General features: G+C 40.5%; 1 annotated feature.

Annotated features, from left to right (window-relative positions):
- Positions 3,995-4,495: an enhancer, noted in NCBI's record as "H3K27ac-H3K4me1 hESC enhancer chr2:119073511-119074011 (GRCh37/hg19 assembly coordinates)". NCBI's record gives its function as "activates a minimal SCP1, AML or CMV promoter by ChIP-STARR-seq in naive H9 embryonic stem cells {active_cell/tissue: H9 hESC(naive)}" and the evidence as "EXISTENCE:reporter gene assay evidence [ECO:0000049][PMID:30033119]".

Raw genomic sequence — 23,401 nt, 5'->3', positions numbered from 1 at the left:
TTGTGCCCTGCTATAAAAGTGACATTTTTTAGGAGACACAACGAAAACAATAACAGCAATTGTCTCACCAATTGTAAGGCACAGTCTATAAATCACTGTGCCTTACTCCCCAACAAAAGAAAGAAGCAAAGCATTGTTCAGAACAGAACTGAAATGTGACCAGGTATTAAGATTGGAAAGACTTTCGAGCGGAAAAATCAAGGCACCGATATTAACACAAGCCAGTAAATAAATAGAGTCTGATTTGGCCACCAGCAACTTCTTAAACTTCTGGTTTAAGGTGGATGAGGATTTGAGAGTGATGTTATGGTTTGTCAACCCACACACATCTCTGTGGCTTTCAAATAGAGACAGCCTTCCTGAGTTCCTTCCAGCTTGGGGATACTATTTTTGCTAATGGCATTTTTAAGGGTCCAAACAGGCCATTTGCTTACATAAGAAATGCAATGGAAAGAGGCAACATCTTTTTTGTTGTCATTTTCTAGTTTGGCAAAACCACATCTTGGAAGTAAAGCAGAAATTTTGGAGGCAGTTTACCTAAGACCTCAAACCAAAATTTACAAACAGCTGGATAAATTCTTTAATGGGGCTGTATTTGTTCCTAAATAGTTGGCAACAGGAAGTATAATTTTCTTAAATTCATCCCTAACAAGCATTGACTCTTCCACCTTCTCTCTGTCCTACGTGGGACCTCCCACTTCTCCCTGCCCATCTCAAACCCTAATAAACAAATCCCTCTCTTACGCCATCAGCCTCAGAGAAACGTGAAGGAGTTTTTCTTGAGTTGAGTTCACAGCTGCCCTCTCAGGGCCACTGTAGTGTGCTGGGAGACCTGGAAACCTGGTGGGCAGAGAAACCAAAGTGGGAGGAGATTAGGGTTGGGTTGGAATGTGGGGGTGGGGGGAATTTGAGCAAGAACTTTGAATCTGAGAAGTCAGAGCCCAGGGTGCTGCCTGGAATTCCAAAATGGGGAAAGAGATCTCAGCTGCTTTCATATGGAAATTGGCCTGGAAGCTGACTTTGTCCCTGCTTGGAACCGAAGCCAAGACCAAGTTCAGTGAACCTAACACACCGTTCAATCAACCATTGAAACCCAGGAGAAGAGAAGGCAGGAAAGGGAGGGCAGAGGGTCAAAGAGGCTCGCCTTTCATTTGGACTTGGTTCCGGAGGTAACAGTAAGGAGGAATTAAACACTGGAAACAACTTGAAGGCAAAATCCCATCTATCAGGAAGGTGCATTCTGCCTGGCTTTAAATGAAAGAAAAGAAGGGGAAAGAAGAAGGAAATTGAAAAAGAAAGCAAGAAAGCAAGCAAGAAGGAAAAAAGAGAGAAAGATGTAGACAATGACAATCACTCAAAGCAATGATTCTGCAATTGACAAAATAAATGCAAATACATACACTGGGTGTAACTTAAAGAAGGAAAGAACTGACCTATAGTTGGCAAAGATTCCCCCCTCCCCACCCTCTTAGATAAAGGTTTTCAGAGACCTGAAGATTCTTAAAGCAGATACTAACTGGACTTCTGAAAGTTTACTTTAGGACTCGCTTTAACTTTGTTTTGTTTTTATTGCAGCTTGAAAAGAAAGTTGAAGAAGTACCTACTCTTTGCAAAAAGAAGCTACTATAGTTTCTTCCTAGATACTGTTTTGGGGACTAGTTTCTTGTCTTTTGTCCTTGATTTATTATTGCCTTTATGTGTTCTCCCCATTTGGTTCATTTTATTCTTATTTTAAAAGAACAGCTCCAAAGACCCTTCTATTTTCATGGAAATTGCTCAGTAGTAACAATTTCAGATAGCTTCCAAAAGAATAATCATCACACTGGCCATTTTACCCAAGAAGCTTTGCAGCATTTCACATAACAATTTACTAATTAATGACAAATTAAATGGAATCTGGTAAGAAGAATCAGAGGTTAGAGTGCTGGTATATATTGTGTGTAAAAAGGTATGCAAATATCTTCAGCCCATTTGTGGTTCATCAGTGGGAAATAATAGCTATTCTACTCGACAATTTCACATGCAGGAGGGCTGCCGCATAGAAGCAGAATTTGGAAATTATACATCATTTTAACTTTTTAACAGTTTTTCAGATTAGATACTGTTCCTTCATTTTAAAGGCACAATGAACTTAATCTTTTTTGTTTTAGTAGATGTAAAATCATGGAAATTCTACTATACTTTGCTGCTTATATTAATTACATATTTGCAAGCAAGAAGCAGTCTTTGGAAATTAGTGACTAAAGTTTTCATCTTTCACAGGAGAAAAAAAGTACTGACTCCAGTCTCCTGAAGCAAGCACTGGAAAACCATAGCCCACAGGCCAAATCTAGCCCTCTTCCTGTTTTTGTAAATAAAGTTTTATTGGAGCACAGCCACATTCATCTATCTACATAATGTCTATGGCTACTTATAAACTGCTATGGCAGAGTTGCAAGAAAAATCTCCTGGCCCACAAAGCCTAAAATATTTACGATCTGTTCCTTTACAAAAGGTTTGCCAATCTCTGCCCTAGAGGGTAAAGCTAGGGAGAGAACATTTATCATAAAGACAAAATAAAAGGTTTTAACTTATAAAATATCAAAATTAATTTAATGTGTCCTGTCACTACTTAAAGCCCACAAATGGTCACCGTCACTCCAGCTGTCACAGAAATTTGCCAAATGTTCTTTTCTTGCTCAGTGCACATGTAAGGGAAGTGCATTCTCTGTGCCCCAGTTCTTCTGTAGCCCGTTGAACAGGCTGGTCACCTCAGGGAAACACTGGTCATCCTTAATAAGAAAAGGCCTTGCAAAGAGTGAAATGTGTCTGCCATCCGTGGAAGTTCTAGGACAACACAGAAGGGTTCCCATGTCAAATAGGTGATTGCTTTGGACACATGTCAATTAATTTATTTTTACTGCTTTTAACTTTGAGAGTAAGACAAAATATCGTACCTGTCTTTATTATTCATCTTTAACTTATCTTCTTTTCAAAATATTAATACTCAAAAGGTATTTGGGGTCACAAAAATGTCTTATTACATTTAGAACATCCCCCCCTTGGATATAGGATGCTACACCCACACATTCATTCAACTTCTGAACATTCTATTTGTGTTGAGGGCACAGGGACACAGCCCAATACAAAACATTTCTTGCATGCCCACAACTTGGTATTATTACCAACAGCACCTGTCAGATCACAGCCAAACATGAGCTTAAAGCGACAAAATTGGTAAGTCAACTTGACGAAACATTATTATTTCTCCCGGTCAGTAGGTTGATAAGCATCTGAATTGGCTAGCTGCTCCAGCAAAATCTGTCTCTCAGCACAGTGTCAACCTCTTTCTCCTGCAGCTTCTAGTCTCTAAAATACCTCTGTGTGAGCCGGGTGCAGCAGCTCACACATGTAATCCCAGCACTTTGGGAGGTTGAAGCTGACAGATGACTTGAGGCCAGGAGTTCAAGACCAGCCAAGCCAGCATGACAAAACCCCATCTCTACTAAAAATATGAAAATTAGCAGGGTATGGTAGTGATGGCGCATGCCTGAAATTGCAGCTACCAGGGAGGCTGAGGCACGAGCATTGCTTGAACCCAGGAGGTGGAGGTTGCAGTGCAACTCCACTGCCACTGCACTCCAGCCTGGGCAACAAAGTAAGACTCAGTCCCAAAAACAGACCAAAACAAAACAAAATCTGTGTGCATTGTAGAACTGATGTCTTAGAAAAAGCACAGAACTAAGAGTTTGTAGCTTGACAGACTGTATGTTCCAGGCATGTGACCTAAGCATTCCAGGTTAGAAGAGGAAATTGGTTTAGCTCAGGATGGCCGAACTCAGTATCCATGCAATCTCTCAATCAGCCATTCAACAATAGCATTAAGCACTTCTTCCACTTCAGCACTATACCAGGTACTAGGTAAATAGCTGGGAAGAAATAGACAGGGTACTTTCCTCAGGAAGTTTGCTGTTAAATGAGTGTGTTGTGAGAAAAGGGTGAGAAAACAAATACACACATACATATAATGGCAAATTATGAGGCATGCAACCAAGAGACATTAATAGAAGTGGTTTGCTTCAGGCAGGGAAGGCCTCCACAAAGAAGTGACATTAAAATTGAAACTTAATGGATGGGATGGGCACAGTGGATCATGCCTGTAATCTCAGCGCTTTGGGAGGCTGAGGCAGGAGGATGACTTGGGGCTGGGAGCTTGAAATCAGCATGGGCAACATAGCAAGATCCTGACTCTACAAAAAGAATTAGCCCAGTGTAGTAGCGTGTGCCTGTAGTCCTGCCTACTCAGAAGGCTGAGGTGGGAAGATCACTTGAATGGAGGAGTTCGAGTTTACAGTGAATTATGATCTCACCACTACACTCCAGCCTGGTCAACAGAGAGACATCTTGTCTCCAAACCAGCTAGAAAAACAGTGGTGGAGTGGGGAAAGTATTCCAAATAGAGTGTGCAGCATGGGAAAATGTGCTGAGACTGGAAAGAGCTTTGCACATTTGAATAACTGAAGTAAGATTCGCACCCGTGGCAGACATCACTAATTGATCACAGCCCTCCTTTCTGTTGAAAATGGACAAAGCCTCAGCATTCTCAGCACAGCACTCCAGGCAGCCACAACTAATCCGTTCGAGTGGGCAACCACCGAAACCTATTTGTCATCCCTGAAACACCTGGTTACAGAAGGCTCTCCCAGGCCTGGAGTTTCTGATTCTATGATTCTCATTTTATTCACTATTTGAATATTAACTCTTGGTTTGAACATTCTTTCATGTGCCTGTTTTCTTCCATTATTATTGACTTCCTGGAGATGATGAGCCTTCTCTCTCATCCCATTCCATTCAATTTCCACAGGCAAAGCTCCTTTCCATACATATATTCCAAAGGCTCTTCAAATTCCCTTTCCCTAGTGGAATCTCAACGATGTGTATCAGTTATCTATTACTGTGTAACAAACCATACCAAAAGCTAGTGGCTTTAAACAACAGGTTACCTTTCCCAAAGATTCTGTGGTTGGCTGGTCAGTTCTCACTCAACAGATTTCAGATGGGGCTGAGTTCAGCCAGGGCAACAGGGAGAGCAGAAATGGCTGGGCCTCTCTCTACTTGGTCTTCATCCCAGCTTCTTCCTAGCATGGCGGTATCAGAGTAGAGTTATAAGAGGGTGAAGAGGAGGCTGCAAGGCTCTTTAAGGCATAATCTCAGAACTTTGATCGTATGGCTCCTTCCCATTCAATTGGGCAAAGCAAGTTCACATCAGGCCAATTCACATCAGATCCCCCTCCTTTTTCTTGGGAAAGGCAGCAAAGACACATTGTGAGGGGAGTGCATCCAAGAAAGGGAGGACTTTGTGGGCATATTTTTTTATATAGCCCAATAAGAATCTATTTCAAAATTGGGGAGGTAGACCAAAGAGCCCAGCTGTCTCATTCCTAGCCCATTCTTCTCTCTCTATCATTAAACCATTAGACCCCCCTTGACCTTAAGGCACTACTTGCAAGTTGGCGATTAGGATACCTAACAAAATCGTAAAAATTCCTCAGAGCCCAGCTGGCCAGAGTATGATGCAGCCAACAGACAAACAAAAGCTTTCAACCTGAGATAGGTCTGTTTACTTCTCTGGAGACACCAAGTCACTGACATTCACGTTCCTGATTAGCTCAACTCCCCCAAAACAAGACCACTGAACTGTCCAGTGCTTTTCCTTCATGACTTAACTACTTATCACTTTCTACTTTATAGAGATTGTGTTGGATTCAAGGCAGATGGACAGATTTGAATCCCAAATGCATCTCATACTACTAGCTGGATAACCCAGAGAAAATTTCTTTGCCTTGGTTTTCTCATCTGTTCAACGGGAAAATAGGAAACTTGCAAGATGGTTGTGAGAATTAATGGAAATAGATGCAAAGTCACTAGTAAAATTGCTGGCTTGCATTAGGTACTCAATAATTATCAGCTATTACTTGTTATTAATGGTGTTTGGTCAGGAAAAACTTCATGTAAGAGAGAAGCTTGGACTGAGTTTTGAAAAATAAATAGAATTTGGGTGCTGGGGAACTATCAGATGGAGAAAGTAGCAGACAAAGAAATGCACACTGTAGGTAATTTAGGTGTAAATAAGTGGACTAACTTGGTTGAAGCGGTCTTGTCTTTACATTCAGCCTTCAGCCTTCATCCTTCCTTCACTGGTTTAGGAAATAAAGTAGGGAAGGAGACTAAGGCCAGATATGCAAGAATTGTGAATGTATGGATAAGAAACCTGGGCTTTTTCTAGCACAGTTGAGGGCCATGGAAGGACAGAGGGACAAAATGAAAAACAAGCCTCCAGGGCATGATCAGAAAAATTAGTCCTGTCATCATGGCAGGGTGGCTAGGCTGGAGATAAACCAGAGGGAGAAAAAACCATTGGCAAGTGAGATGGCATATGAAGGTCAAGTGTGTTTGATCATGTTTTCAAAACTAATGCTTCTCATCTCTTCAACTGAGGCTTTAGGCAGTTTGAAATTATGTCCACAAATTCTTTGACACTGCTCCTATGGAAAAACAGAGTCTATTCCCTCCCCTTGAATGTGGGTTCACCTCAGTGACTAACCTCTAATGAATAGAATGTGGCAAAGGTGGCACTGTGGACTTCAAAGTCTAGATCATAAAAAGCAATACAGCTTCTGCCTAGTTATCTTACCCTTAGGATGCTTGCCCTTGGAACCCAGCCTCCAGGCCATGAGGAAGCCAGGTAGCCCCCTGGTGGAAGGGCCACATGTTCCAGCCCCAGATCCAGCTGAGGTCCCAGCTGACAGCCAGCATCACCCTCCAGACACGTAAATGAGAGAGCCTCCACATGACCCCACCTTCAGCCTTTGATCCCCACAAGCTGAGGCTAAGTGGAGCAGAGATGAGCTGTCCCTGCGGAGCCATGCTCAAATTGCTGATTTGCAAGCAAAGTAAATGCTGTTGTTATTTTAAGTCGCTAAGTTTTGGGGTGTTGTGTTACACAGCAATAGTTAACTGGAGCCAGCTGTTCTGTGTACTGGCTGGGTGTCACACATACACTGATTGTTCTCATACTTGTTCAGAAGGCCAGTTACCCAGAAATCATAATTTTTGGGTGGAACATCCTCTATCCCATCACTCTTTCCATTTTCTTCATAGCATTTGTCACAATTTGCAATTATAGTCTGTATTTGCTTGTTAGCTTGTTTTCTTTGCCTCTTTAGAATAGAAGCTCCCTAGGTACCCTGATCTTGTCTGTCTTACTCACTGCTGTATCCAATTACCTACTAAGTGCCTGGCATATGGTGAGCACACTATAAATATCTGTGGAATAATGAATGAGTAGATAAACACTATGAAACTCGGATATATTCAATTCCATTACAGCAACCACTTACAGAAGACATGTGCCAAAGTTTTAAGAAAAGAAAAATGTGTGCAGTTTAGGATTTTTTTTTTTTTTTGAGACAGAGTCTTGCTATGTTGCCCAGGCTGGTCTCAAACTCCTAGAACTTGGAACCCAACAATCTTTCCACCTCAGCCTCCCAAAGTGCTGGGATTATAGGCATGAACCACTGAGCCTGGCCCACTTTAGGATGTTAATGGAGAAAATGATTTACCTTCACTTTTTTGTTTTTTTATGAATTGGTACCAAGCAGCCTTTGGGCCCTTGTTACTACACCATCTCAGCTGGGCTCACAGAAAAAGAGTGCTTTTCGGATGCTTCCTCTGAGAACCATTACACACGTCATCTCATCAAACCCTCGGTAGCTCCGTGTGGCAGGTATTCCTGTTTCCAATTAAGGGACGAAGACACTGAGGCTTAGAATGATTCAGTATCTCTCTCAAGAAACACAGCTTTGAAGTGAAGAAACCAGGGTACAAACTCAGGTGGGACTCCATACTGGCAACACATGGGGCAAACAAATTCAGGTGGACCAAGGAAAACTGAACGAGTCTTTCTCCTCTGTGATGGCAACCCACGGATGTGCGCTAGCTGTTCACAGGCAACTCTTCAGCTTCTGCAGGGATGAGCGGGGAACAATAAGATAGCGTTCCTTCCTGTCTTCATCTGTGTAGATTGCTGCACCAGAGCACTTTAGACTGGGTAGCTCATAAATGACAGAATTTATTTCTCACAATTCTGGTGGCTGGGAAGTCCAAGATCCAAGTACTGGTGGATTTCATGTCTAGAGAATGGTGGATTTCTGGTGCTTCTCACTGTGTCTTCACATGACAGATGGGATCAGGGAGCTTTCTATGGTCTCTTTTATAAAAAAAACACCCATTCATGAGGGCTCCACTCACATGACCTCAACACCTCCCAAAGGCCCCATCTCCAAACACCATCACTTGGGGATTAGGTTTCAACATATGAATTTTAGGAGGACACAAATATTCAGACCATAACACAGCCATCATTCTTTTTTTTTGAGAGGGAGTCTCACTCTGTTGCCAGGCTGGAGTGCAATGGCCCGGTCTCGGGTCACTGCAACCTCCACCTCCCGGGTTCAAGTGATTCTCCTGCTTCAGCCTCCCAAGGAGCTGGGACTACAGGCGCATGTCACCATGCCTGGCTAATTTTTGTATTTTTAGTAGAGACATGGTTTCACCATATTGGCCAGGATGGTCTCCATCTCTTGACCTCGCGATCCACCTGCCTTGGCCTCCCAAAGTGCTGGGATTACAGGCGTGAGCCACCAGGCCTGGCCAGCTTTCATTCTTTTAGTCATTCAACAAACGCTCACTGAGCACATACTATGTATCTCTATTGCAGAGGCCAGACCTTATCCTAGGCACTGCCTGTCGGAAAATCAGATGCAGCTTCCTCCAGTCCAGAAAGGGAGGGAAATAAACACAGGCAGGGGGAGTTAGGAGGCGATGTGGCAAATGCAGACCAGCCAGACACATACAGAGGACTGACAAACTCACAGAAGATGGTCTGTGGCCCTGTCCCAGGGCTCCACGATAAATTTCGTCCTTAATCCTAGCTTCACCTGCACAGACTCCCCCTTTCTCCTGTAAGGGGTGCAAATCCAAGAAAGAGAGGACTTTGTGGACGTATTTTTTAATACAGCCAGGGAAGAGTCAATAGGAGTGAGAACAAGCCTCCCAAAAGAGGCCACGTGGGCAACAGCCAGTTTCTGCAGCACTCCCCAGGTGCCCCACAGCCCTCCCAGGCTGCATCCTCCTCCTTCCCAGGCCTCCTGGGCGGGGCCAGCCCATCCCGGGAGCACAGTGACTCCTCCCAGAAGTGGGAAACACAGAGGGCCGGGGAAGCCCACCAATAAGATGGTCAAAAGCAATTTTAACTGGGTCCCGTGACAGGGTAAAACATTTGTGTTGTAATAGTGTCTCAATAAAAGGTATTGTAATATTTAAAATGTAGTATTGATCCCTCTGTGAGGACCATCAATCCTTGCAGGATTTGAGAGCCTGACCGCAGAGCCTGGGCTCGCCGGGTGAGGGTGGGGGAGAACCTTGGGAAATGCTGCGCCCTCAAGAGCACAAAGTCACCCACAAGAGCGGGGCGAGCTCGACGGCCCGGGTGTCCCTCCAACATCAAAGGAGGGATGCTGGGGTCCCCGGGCCGACACAGGAGAACCTGAGAGAAACTGTCTAAACAAAGGAATCAAAATATGAAACTAAATCACCTGCTAGTGTTTTATGAGGCCTTGTTCTGAATCAATACAAGCCCCAGGGCCCACGATTCCTCATGCTGAAAGGGAATACTTTTTCATCCTAAAACGAAATCGAGCTGCTTAAGTAAAACAGATGTTACCGTTGAGTGCCAGCACCCCGGCCCCTCCTCCCTCACCCCTTCTTCCTGCGCTGGAAAGAAGGGAGCCCGCGCTGCCCCGAAACCCAAGTCGGCTGGGGAAAGCCAGAGCCTTGGAATTTCTCCCTCCTTCGCCCACAGAAGTTTTCTTTTCTGTTTACCGGGGAGGGGAGCCCGGGAGGGGGCCGGTGGGGGGAGGCCAGTCTGCTCGCAGAGGATTTGAAGGCGCAGCGGCGACGTGAGAGGCGGAGAAGATTTTCATTTCCTGTGTTACGGGGTGCAAAGAATATCAGTATGAAAAACCCGGCGGGGAGATCGGAGATAGCAGTTTTTACATTGATAAGTATTTGTTCATTTCCTGACAACAAAAAAAATATAAATCTCTTCAGAAATTAAGCGGCGCGGCTTGTCGGGCACGTTCGTGGCGCGCGGGCCGCCCCCGCCGGCGTAATCGCGGCATCAGCCATCGGCGCCATCGCGGGCGGCGGCCGCGCGGCGCCCACTTTTTGTGTCACTTGTTTTCTCAGCGGGCCCGATTTGCATTTTAATGGAAGTAGTTTATAGACTTCTCCGCTGCCTTCGGAGTGCCACAAGTGGCATCATTAAGCGGGCTAAGCCGGATTAATGCTGATAGTAAAGTCAGATAATACAATAACAGAGGCCTCCGCTCCATTTGCATTAGGTGAGGAGCGCGGGGCTGCCTGGTGGCTGGCGATAATTTGTAAGCGCGATATGTTGTACTTGAGAGGATAAGATTAAATTTAGTGGGTTTAACTGTCATCCCACTAAGTCAATTACTTCATCTTTTCAGCCTTTGAATTTCTTTTATAAGTAAAATAAATGGAATATTGAGCTGCTCCGCGGCCATTTCGAGCTTCCATGAAGAATGACACAGGCCGAGCCAAAAAAATAAAAGGCTTCGGATTCAGCTCCATAAACAAAATATAAACTCCATTCAGGTGCCAGCATGGCAGCAGCCCCGAAATATTGTCCATCTCTCATATCACAAGCATGACAGATTCCATTGTGACTTTAGTTTCTCCATAATAGGAAATATTTATGTTGTGCCTGGGTGTTTTCTATTCCTTTCCCTCTTATTATGGGAGGCAAACAGGCCAAAGCAGGGCCATGTGCTTCCCCCTTTCCCTCCCTCCCTCGCCTGCCTCTCCTTGCCCTGCGCTAAATGTTTAGTGTTGGGGGCGGATATTAAGGCAGCCTCCTGACCCCAGGAGATGCCTCAGATTTCAAGCGGGTCGGAGATCAACAGAAGGGGGCAACTTCTTTCAGGCCCTCCCCCTCGCCCCCACCCTGGCCTGTTGCCTCTGTAGATGGCTTCTCTGCATGAAGTTTAGATATCTAGCATCAGTGAGCGGAACCTCGATAGAAGAACCTCAACATCTTCATTTATTCAAAGAGGGATGGTGGCGGGGGAGCGGGGGGGGCGGTAGGGACAAGGAAGAAAAAGAAAATCAAGCAGTTGAACCCCTATAGGTGGCACCAGCCAGTGCAAGTCATGTTTTAGGAGACTCCAACTCTGCTGTGTTCTCTACACATTAATAAACATGTACTCAACAAATATAGATGTCTTTCCTAATCATGGATGGATGGATGGATGGATGGATGGATGGATGGATGGATGGGCGAGTGAGAGAAAGACACAGACAAGGCATAATCTGTGTCAAAACCCTATAAACTGGTGGCTCAAGAGCTCAGCACAATGCAGTTGGACCAAATGGTAAGGGTCAGGAGTCCAGCCAGACAGTCGGACTGTGTGCCTGCTCCATGCCCTGCCCTGTCTGGGTCCTGTAGAGCAAAGGGAAGGCATGAAGGAATGCCCTTGAGAGGATTAGCCATATACACTTTGGAGAGGCCCAGGAAAATATTCAACAAGCAGCCTTTAATAAAGTGATCCACGGTGATGTATGGATAACAATGAGGGCATGAAAGGCTCTCACGTTCCTGCCCATCTTCCCTCCCTCTTCTCCTACTCCTCTTCCTCTCTTCAGATTGTACCTGAACATGGCGTGTATTTGCATGGATTATTCCATCTTTTTGGAATGCTTTTCTCTTCTTCTCCTGCTAAATTCTAGCCTTTTCAAGAGCCATGTCCTCCATTCCTCTGTGAACCTTCCCCAGCCCACACAAACAGATGAAGGCTCTGTGTGCAATCTCTGATACAGCAGCCCATGTACTGTTCCTCAAGCATTTACTGATATGCTGCCTCTCCTACCCAGCTCCAAGCCCCTTGAGAAAATGACTGTGTTTTACTCACTCATTCATCTCCATCAAGTACTGAGTTCACAGCTCAGTGCTGTACTGAATGCTAGGGACACAAAGACGAACAAGATGTAGTTCTTACCCACAAATAGCTGAGTCTAGGAGATGAAACAGGCCTATAAACAATCATAATACAATCTTAGAGTATGTTTTCCTGGTGTTTGGCACAATACTTGACCTGTAAAACATGCTAAGCAAATGTTGGTGAAATGAATGAAGTTTCAATGAGACATGGCGATTTCACCTGGGAGACTCTGAAAACCCTTAACACAAAAGTTGTGAGGCTGCTATCACATCTTTCTCTGCACCTTCTTTGTCTCCAGCCCTCTCCACCTTCACTATCAATGCCGAGTTTCAACAAAAGAACTAGAGTAATGTCTCCAGAAGGGGCAATGAGTCTTAAGAAGGTAACAGCCTAAAACCATCTCAGATGAAATGGAGCTGCTCAGTGACTTTTGGGAGCTCTCAGACCTGGTGGAGACCTCTATCCCAAGTCAAAATGCAACACTCACTTCAAACAGAAATATCCCTAAAAGACATTAATTCACAATTTCAACGCTTTATGACCTCCCACTATATGCCAAGCACTTTTAAAGACTTCAGAGGAATATAAAAATGAATCATATTTCATCTTCCATCTGCTCAAAATTCTCTTTGGGTGGGCAGTGTGGAGCAGCAGAAAAGTACGTTATTTGTTACAGGGGAGGTGTGGATGAAAACAGCCTGTCACCTGTCAAGAATCTGAAAGTAAACTATTATTAATAACAGTAATGACAATTTTTATATGTCGTATATTTAAAAAAATCTTAAGTGCTTTGTATATTCTGTATCTCCTTTGTTAAGTGCCAAGTGCTACCTTCCCCCACCTCCTGCCCCTAGAAAGTCTCCAGAGGCTTCAATAGAGATCCCAGTTGGGAAGCCTTTGCCAGGACAGAAATGACAGGTGTGTGTGTTTGTGTGTGTCTTTCTCCGACTTCATTCCAAAGCCAAATATATAAATGATTTTTAGATTACCCCTTGTTTTATCCATGCCTCTGCCCTTCACTAGTGCGGATAATGGAGAGTTCACTCTACTGTGATTAATTATGCAGCCAGGGCTGAGAGCCAACAGTCACAAAGTGTTAGGAGTTTCAGGCACTTTAAGAGGGATGAGGATTTTGTTTCTTTGCTTGTTTAACTTTTATCTGGTATTGATTAATTGCCCACTCTGTTCCAGACACTCTACCCAGCACTTTTATACATGTCATCTCATTCAGGGCTCACAGCAACCCTACGTGGTGGGCACTATTGTTATCCCCATTTTATTGTTTTTGTGTGTGTAACTATATGTTTTAATAAGAAAATTAAAATTTGAAACTTTCTGTAAAAACATTATGGAAACAAAATTTAGAGGTCATATTTTTATAATAAGGGAATGCTATGTCCTTTAACTTATGAAAATTATTAGTTTCTCATCAACAATGTCACCTAAAATAATATACAGACACTTCAACATTTTTAGTTTATTAAAAAAATACCAAAATAGAATTTATTTTAGGGTTGAATTTGAAATTATGCAGACTATTACAAGCCCCCATTTCTGTTATTCATTAACTCTAAAAAGAATTCATAAGTTATCCCCATTTTTGAGATGAGAAAACAGGGTGAGAGAAGGTATGTGACTCTCCCAAACTAATAATGGCTGGCAATATTTTATAAAATAGGATTAATGACTCGATTAGTAACTGATGTATTATCTAAGCATCACAAATATTAAATGCATATTCTCTTTTAGCCTAATTGCCCTAACAATTTCTCCTTAATATCTTCAACACGGGATCCAAAACACTGCAGGATTCCTTGTGATGTTTTCCTGAGTCCATGGACAATTTAGTAAAACGAGTTCTGACCTTTCAGAGCCATGCTCAATGCATAAATCTTAGAGGTTAGACCTGAGGCTGTGGCCCGGCTGCTTGGGTGGTGACAACATATCACATTGTAAGTTCCCTTCTTTATGTAGTTTCCACTTAAAGTAAAGGAGAAGAGGTACTAGCAAGCATGTAATATGTGCCAAGAGACTATACATGCATGGCCTCATTAATCATGGCAATCTTGAAAGGTTAACACTATTATTCTCTTTTACACAGAGGGACCGGGGCACAGCAAAATAAAGTGTGCACAAAGTCACAGAGGTCAAAACCAGCTCTATGGAGCTCCAAAGTTCATATTCCTTCCAGCACTCTTGGAATTAAGCTTATAAACTATGAAACTACACTATTAATAATACATTGTCAGGGACCTTGATAAGATGTTAGTCTGCATCTATGAGATATAATAACATTTTTGATTGAAATATTTCCAGGCTGTTATCCCTAAGACTAATGATGAATTTCAGTTCTTCTCATGTGACTTATTCTCTCTTAGTTAAAACAAATACACCTTTGTATTATTCACTCTGAGCCTAAACATTATTCACTTCTTATCACCAACTCTAACTTTTTTTTTTTTTTTTTTTTGTCTCTTAACCCTATTCTTGTTTCTACTCTTTCCAGGTGTGGCCTTAAAACCATTCCATTATCGCTGTTTTCAAGCATAACATTCCCAGTTCCTCTGTAGAAGTTTTTCCCTAAATGATGTTTGAGTACCAATTTCTGTGTTTCACTTTCTGCCCACCATATATATATATGTATGTGTATATATATGTGTATATATATGTATATATGTATATATGTACATATGTATGTATGTATATATACATATAAGTATATCTATATATGTGTATATATATCTATATATGTATATATGTACATATGTATATATGTATATATGTACATATGTATATATGTATATATGTACATATGTATATATGTATATATACATATATGTATATATGTATATATGTACATATGTATATATGTATATATACATATATGCATATATGTATATATACATATATGCATATATGTATATATACATATATGTATATCAATATATGTATATACAATACATATATATGTATATACAATACATATATATGTATATACATATATTGTATATGTATATGTATATATACATATATTGTATATGTATATACAATACATATATATGTATATCAATATATATGTATATATGTATATACATATATGTATATACAATACATATATATGTATATCTATATACGTATATACATATATGTATATACGTATATACATATATGTATATACAATACATATATGTATATACGTATATACATATATGTATATACAATACATATATGTATATACAATACATATATGTATATACGTAGATACGTATATGTATATACAATACACATATATGTATCCACGTAGATACGTATATGTATATACAATACACATATATGTATCCACGTAGATACGTATATGTATATACAATACACATATATGTATCCACGTAGATACGTATATGTATATACAATACACATATATGTATCCACGTAGATACGTATATGTATATACAATACACATATATGTATCCACGTAGATACGTATATGTATATACAATACACATATATGTATCCACGTAGATACGTATATGTATATACAATACACATATATGTATCCACGTAGATACGTATATGTATATACAATACACATATATGTATCCACGTAGATACGTATATGTATATACAATACACATATATGTATCCACGTAGATACGTATATGTATATACAATACACATATATGTATCCACGTAGATACGTATATGTATATACAATACACATATATGTATCCACGTAGATACGTATATGTATATACAATACACATATATGTATCCACGTAGATACGTATATGTATATACAATACACATATATGTATCCACGTAGATACGTATATGTATATACAATACACATATATGTATCCACGTAGATACGTATATGTATATACAATACACATATATGTATCCACGTAGATACGTATATGTATATACAATACACATATATGTATCCACGTAGATACGTATATGTATATACAATACACATATATGTATCCACGTAGATACGTATATGTATATACAATACACATATATGTATCCACGTAGATGTATATACAATACACATATATGTATCCACGTAGATGTATATACAATACACATATATGTATCCACGTAGATGTATATACAATACACATATATGTATCCACGTAGATGTATATACAATACACATATATGTATCCACGTAGATGTATATACAATACACATATATGTATCCACGTAGATGTATATGCAATACACATATATGTATCCACGTAGATGTATATGCAATACACATATATGTATCCACGTAGATGTATATGCAATACACATATATGTATCCACGTAGATGTATATGCAATACACATATATGTATCCACGTAGATGTATATGCAATACACATATATGTATCCACGTAGATGTATATGCAATACACATATATGTATCCACGTAGATGTATATGCAATACACATATATGTATCCACGTAGATGTATATGCAATACACATATATGTATCCACGTAGATGTATATACAATACACATATATGTATCCACGTAGATGTATATACAATACACATATATGTATCCACGTAGATGTATATACAATACACATATATGTATCCACGTAGATGTATATGCAATACACATATATGTATCCACGTAGATGTATATGCAATACACATATATGTATCCACGTAGATGTATATGCAATACACATATATGTATCCACGTAGATGTATATGCAATACACATATATGTATCCACGTAGATGTATATGCAATACACATATATGTATCCACGTAGATGTATATGCAATACACATATATGTATCCACGTAGATGTATATGCAATACACATATATGTATCCACGTAGATGTATATGCAATACACATATATGTATCCACGTAGATGTATATGCAATACACATATATGTATCCACGTATATGTATATGCAATACACATATATGTATCCACGTAGATGTATATGCAATACACATATATGTATCCACGTAGATGTATATGCAATACACATATATGTATCCACGTAGATGTATATGCAATACACATATATGTATCCACGTATATGTATATGCAATACACATATATGTATCCACGTATATGTATATGCAATACACATATATGTATCCACGTATATGTATATGCAATACACATATATGTATCCACGTATATGTATATGCAATACACATATATGTATCCACGTATATGTATATGCAATACACATATATGTATCCACGTATATGTATATGCAATACACATATATGTATCCACGTATATGTATATGCAATACACATATATGTATCCACGTATATGTATATGCAATACACATATATGTATCCACGTATATGTATATGCAATACACATATATGTATCCACGTATATGTATATGCAATACACATATATGTATCCACGTATATGTATATGCAATACACATATATGTATCCACGTATATGTATATGCAATACACATATATGTATCCACGTATATGTATATGCAATACACATATATGTATCCACGTATATGTATATACAATACATATATGTATATACCATATATGTATATACAATACATATATATGTATATACATATATATGGTATATACATATATATTGCATATACATATATATACAATATACATATATATATGTATATTGCTGTGATCTTCCTATTACAGCTTTCTTTCCTTTTTAAAAAATGTCTTTCCCTACAACAAATAAGAAATACTTGGTCAGCATATACCTTGTTCTATAGCCCTTCATGGATTTGAGAAGCTCACTTCACTAATTTATTTTTACATTTTAGCCAAAAAAGAATGTGCCAAAAGAAAACAGACTTCAAATAGAATTTATCATTTCAAAGCACAGTTCCATAACCAATTTGACTTCAGTTGTTTTATTATTCCAATTAATCTCTTTAAACCTCTCTAAAGAGTTGGCATTTACATTTTTCATTTCCATCATTACGAACATTCTTCTAATAATAATATTTCCTAATGCCTACACCATTTCTGGATTTGATTCTGTGATACGTGGAAACGTTAATCACCAACCTAAGCCTGAGTGTTCTTACAGATATCAGTGTCCCATTTTCTCTAAAATTAGCAATGTCACGCAAGCTTTCAGATGCTGTAATTACAACAGCAACAGAGCAGAAAAGCTCCCGACAGCCACCCAGGCTCCAGCAGCCTCAGAATCAGCCCACCCCATCCGGAAACACAAGCATTCCTTCCTCTCTTTCACCTCTGGCTTCTTGCTCCCTTCTGCTGGAGTCCTCTGCTCTAAAACCCCCAATGCAATCCAAGTTTTGTTTTCAAACTTGCCATTAGCTTCTCCCTAAATGTCCATGCATCTTAGCTTCCAGACTAACCTTTGCTCTTTGTCCGAGACCCCAGTCACAAGACTCTCAGTCCTTAGATGCATTGGCCAGGAAAAGGCCATGCTAAATCTCATAGGAGGCAGAGAGGACAGCTGTCTGTACAGATGATGTGAGGAAGGCTGAAAAACATCCTTGTCCTTAGACACTTGGCCCATTTCTCCTACCTAGGACACCCATGTTGCTAACTCCTTGGTTCGAAGGCTGTGGAGTTGGGGATCTTATCCTTCTGCCTTCCAGAGCTTCAACCCAGTGGGTGCTTGCAAAAATGTATGGCCTTTTCCCTGATTGAATATTGTCCTCCCGTCTCTACCTCCTTTCCTTGGCAGGGAACAATGCTGAACACCCAAGAAGAAACCATTTCCCTCCCTCCCTCCACTTGTTACTTCTTTGATGAGAGCAATGTAAGGTGGCATACCCCTGTGTAACCTTGGACAAGTATCTTGACTTCCCTTCAGGTACCTTCCACAAGAATGGAAACCTTGTGTGAATGAAAATGAGATGAGGTCAGATACCATGCCTTATTCAACAGTACACCCTGGCACCCAGCATAGAGCCTAAAACAGCATATGCACTTGATAAATATTTGTTGAAGGAATAAATAAACTGAACTGCATGCCTTTTATGATCTCCTTCTGAAATATTATATGCATTTGGTAAATATTTGTTGAATGTAATGAATAAGTGTATATGAGGACAATACTTATCTCAGTGAGTTTTGAAGTGATAGCTATAAGGATTAAATCAGATAATCTGCTTAATATAAATTGATTCCCACTTCACATGGTGACTTCTAAGCAAAAAACACAGAGAGATACAGTGAGTAAGAGAAAAAAGATTAAAACAAAACAAAAAGATGTCCAAATGCTAAGGAATATTTTTAAAAGCCCATGTAGTGGTTTTAAATGTCCACAAATTCCTTCATATTTCTTCCTTCAAAAGTGGAACCTAATTCCTTTCTTCTTGAGCAGTCTGAACTTTGTGACTCATTCCTAAGAATATATACAGTTGGCTCTTGAACAACAGGAGTTTGAACTGTGAGGGTTCACTCATATGCAAATTTTCTTCCACCTCTGCCACACCTGAGACAGCAAGACTCACCCCTCCTCTCTTGAAGACAATGAAGATGAAGACCTTTGTGATGATCCACTTTCACTTAATAAATAGTAAATATATTTTCTCTTTATTAGGATTTTCTTAATAATGTTTTCTTTTCTCTACCTTATCATATTGTAAGAATACAATTTATAACATATACAAAATATGTGTTAATTGACTGTTTATGTTATCAATGAGGCTTCTGGCCAAGAGTAGGCTATTGGTAGTTTGAGTTACATTCAGATTTTTGACTACATGGCATAGGAGTTGACGTCCCTGGCTCCTGTGTTGTTGAAGGGTCAACTGCAAAGTGGGGGTGACAGTGTTCAACTTTGGAGGCCAGGTCATAAAAGGCTTCCTGCTTGTCCTTATGGATCACTTGGTCCTGGAAAGCTACTGTCATGTCAGGGAGAAAGGCTTACCGGATGAGGAACTGAGGCCTCCAGCCAACAGCTAAAGAGGGACAAATTTCCTAGACTAACAGCCACACAAGTGAGCTCAAAAGTGAATCCTCCAGCCCCAGGAAAGCATCCAGATGACTCCATCCTTGGCTGACAGCTGGTCTGCAAGCTTATAAGGGACCACAATCCAGGGCCACTCAACTAAACTGCTTTCAAATTCTTGACCCACAGACCCTGTGAGATAATGATCTTTTGTAGTTTTAAGACAATACATTTTGGGATAATTCATAACACTGAAATAGACAACTTACAATTGCCCCATAAAACCTCTTGCCAAGAGGCCTGTGCAGCACTCTTGGGCTCAGAACTCCTTTGCTTCCTCTGGCAGATTCAGTCCTATGTCTGTTCATGCCAGGTCTTGGGTAAGGAAGCATCGGCTGGCCCTCTCTTTGAGGGGTGGACCTCTTCTTGCAAAGTGGCCCTCTCCTTTCAGTTTTTCCTGATTGCATTAGCAGCTCCAGTTTCCATTGCAATGTCAGCTTTATATCCCTTGCCTCTGTTTTTGCCTCCATCGTAAATCCTCGGCAGAGATCAAAACATCCACAGGCCAAAGAGAACCCTAACAGTTCTTTGTTTAACTTACATTTTGTTTGGTTTTAAATGTGAGCTATGATTTGAAAGTTGGAAGGATACTTTTTTTTTTTTGCTTCATTGATTTCTCTACCTTCATTTTCTGCTCTTAATCTTCATGTGTATTTACTTCTTAGGTGATTATAGCATTTATAACCACTTTATTGAGGTATAATTGATGTGCAAAAAGTTGTAGATATTTAATGTATACAGTTTGATGTCTTTTGAGATAAGCATACATCCATGAAACCATCATCACTTTCAGTATCATAAACATATCTATCAACTCCAAAAGTTTCCTCCCACCTGGAAGTGTACTTTTGATTTAACATGATTTAACATTGACTGACCATATGTATTTAGTTATTCTCTCACCCAATAAAAATAATAGCAAAAGAAAATATAGAGATATCAGGCATTGAAGATTAAAATAACCAGAGAGGGGACAATAGGAAACAAAAGATTTTAACAGACTTTCAGATGCAGATAGAACAGTGACAATTGGCTTAGCAGAGTGGAAGAAGCCCAACTTAGGAAGCTCAATGGTACAATTCAATTCGATGATCCAATTAAGAGTAGACAGAATTTTCCCTTAATATCCTTGGAAAAGCTCTGAGCTTCTGAATGTGAAGCTCTGTAAAGAAGACATAAGATGCCGAATGCCGTGGCTCATGCCTGTAATCCCAGAACTCTGGGAGGCCAAGGTAGGCGGATCACGAGGTCAGAAGATCGAGACCATCCTGGCTAACATGATGAAACCCCGTCTCTACTAAAAATAAAATTTAAAAATATTTAGCTGGGTGTGGTGGTACACGCCTGTAGTCCCAGTTACTCGGGAGCCTGAGGCAAGAGAATTGCTTGAATCTGGGAGGTGAAGGTTGCAGTGAGCCGAGATCATGTCACTGCACCCCAGCCTGGGCAACAGAGCGAGACTCCGTCTCAAAAAAAAAAAAGAAAAAAAGAAAAAAAAAAGACATGAGGTATGTATTAGGGTTCTCCAGAGAAATAGAACCAATATGATGGATAGATTGATGGATAGAAATAGAGCGATCAATCGTTCGATAGGTGATAGATAGATAAGGATGAATTACGGGAATTGGCGCACACAGTTATGGAGGGTGAAGAAGTCCCATAATATGCTGTCTGCAAGATGGAGAACGAAGAGTGCTGATGTCCAGGGACAGGAGAAGACAGATGTCTTCCATCTCTCAGCTCAGTAAGAGAGAGAAAACCCACACTTCCTTTGCCTTTTTATTCTATTTAGACCCTCAATGGATTGGATAATGCCTGCCCACGTTGTTAAGGGCAGGTCTTCCTTACTCAGTTTACTGATTCAAATGCTACTGTCTGCTGGAGACAATTTCACAGACATGCCCAGAAATAACATTTTACCAGCTACCTGGGCATCTCTTGGCCCTGTCAAGCTGACACATAAAATTAACCATCACAACGTGTAAGATGGAAAACAAGGTAATTGATTGGATAGTTGTATATAGAATAGTAGAGCCTCTGCCCTCCAACATCCTAAGCAGCCAGGCAGCCAGCCTCCAGGCTTGGTAACGCAATCTCAAGTTTGTTGTGGGAGACACTGAGACATAGGAGAAAATAAGAGAATTGAGGGAGAATCTGTCTACTAATGAATGCATTCTCAATAATTTTCCCTGCCCTGTTTAAAGAATTCCAGTAGTTTGGCTAATGAATAGAAGGCAGGAGGTTGGGGGATAAGTCTTAAAATAAACTGAATGGTCCCATGGACAAAACATGTAAACAGGCTGAACTTAGGCGCTCCCCATCCCCACCAGTGAAAATGTGGCTTACTGCTTAACTGCTCTTCAGAGGAGCCCACAAGTTAACAAGTCTCCCTATATACACAGAGCCTCCAACTAACTTTTAGTGCTCCATTCCTAAACTTTCACTGCCAACCAAGGATCACAAGTAATAAGATAAAAATCACCAAGAGAAAAGTCAAAGACCAAAAGAAGACGAAGAGGTAGAAGGAAGAAGGAAGAAGCAAGGAGAAGGAGAAGAAGGAGAAGGAGGAGGAGGAGGAGGAACCTGAAGAAATAGAATACATGAATTAGAAAAAAAACTTTAAGAGATGTAATCAACAACTTAGAGGAAGAAAAGAAGGCATGAAACAAGAAAAAATACTGTACTCGTTTCCTATAGCTGCCTCATAAAAGTGATCAAAAATTGGGTAGCTTAAAATAAAAAAATTGTTTCACAGTTCAAGAGGCCATAAGTCTGAAACCAAGGTGTTGGTAGGGTATCTGGTGGAAGAAATTTCTAAGCAGCAAAGCATTCAAGATGTGACTTGGGTGCCGTTAAATGCATTCCGTTTTATAAGGGAAGTAGAGCATAAAAGTTTGGAAAATTTGCAGCCTGACAATGTGATAGAAAAGAAAATCCCATTTTCTAAGTAGAAATTCAAACTGGCTGCAGAAATATGCATAAGTAATGAGAAGCCAAATGTTAATCCCCAAGACACTGGGAAAAATGTCTCCGGGGCATGTCAGGGGTCTTCGCAGCAGCCTCTCCCATCACAGACCCAGAGCTCTAGGAGGAAAAAATGGTTTCATGGGCCAGACCAAGTGTCCCTGTGCTGTGTGCAGTTTAGGGACTTGGTGTCCTGCATCCCAGCTGCTCCAGCCATGACTAAAAGGGTACAGCTCAGGTCATGGCTTCAGAGGGTGCAAGCCCCAAGCCTTGGAAGCTTCCATGTGGTGTTCTGTGTGGGTGCCCAGAAGTCAAGAATTGAGGTTTGGGAACCTCCACTTAGATTTCAGGGGATGTATGGAAACACCTGGATGTCCAGGCAGAAGTTTGCTACAGGGGTGGGGCTGTCATGGAGAA

The sequence above is a fragment of the Homo sapiens genome, chromosome 2 (genome assembly GCF_000001405.40).
Source record: "Homo sapiens chromosome 2, GRCh38.p14 Primary Assembly".
Lineage (NCBI taxonomy): Eukaryota > Metazoa > Chordata > Mammalia > Primates > Hominidae > Homo > Homo sapiens.
Note: the sequence above shows the minus strand (reverse complement) of the source record. Positions and strands in the feature narration are given on the sequence as shown.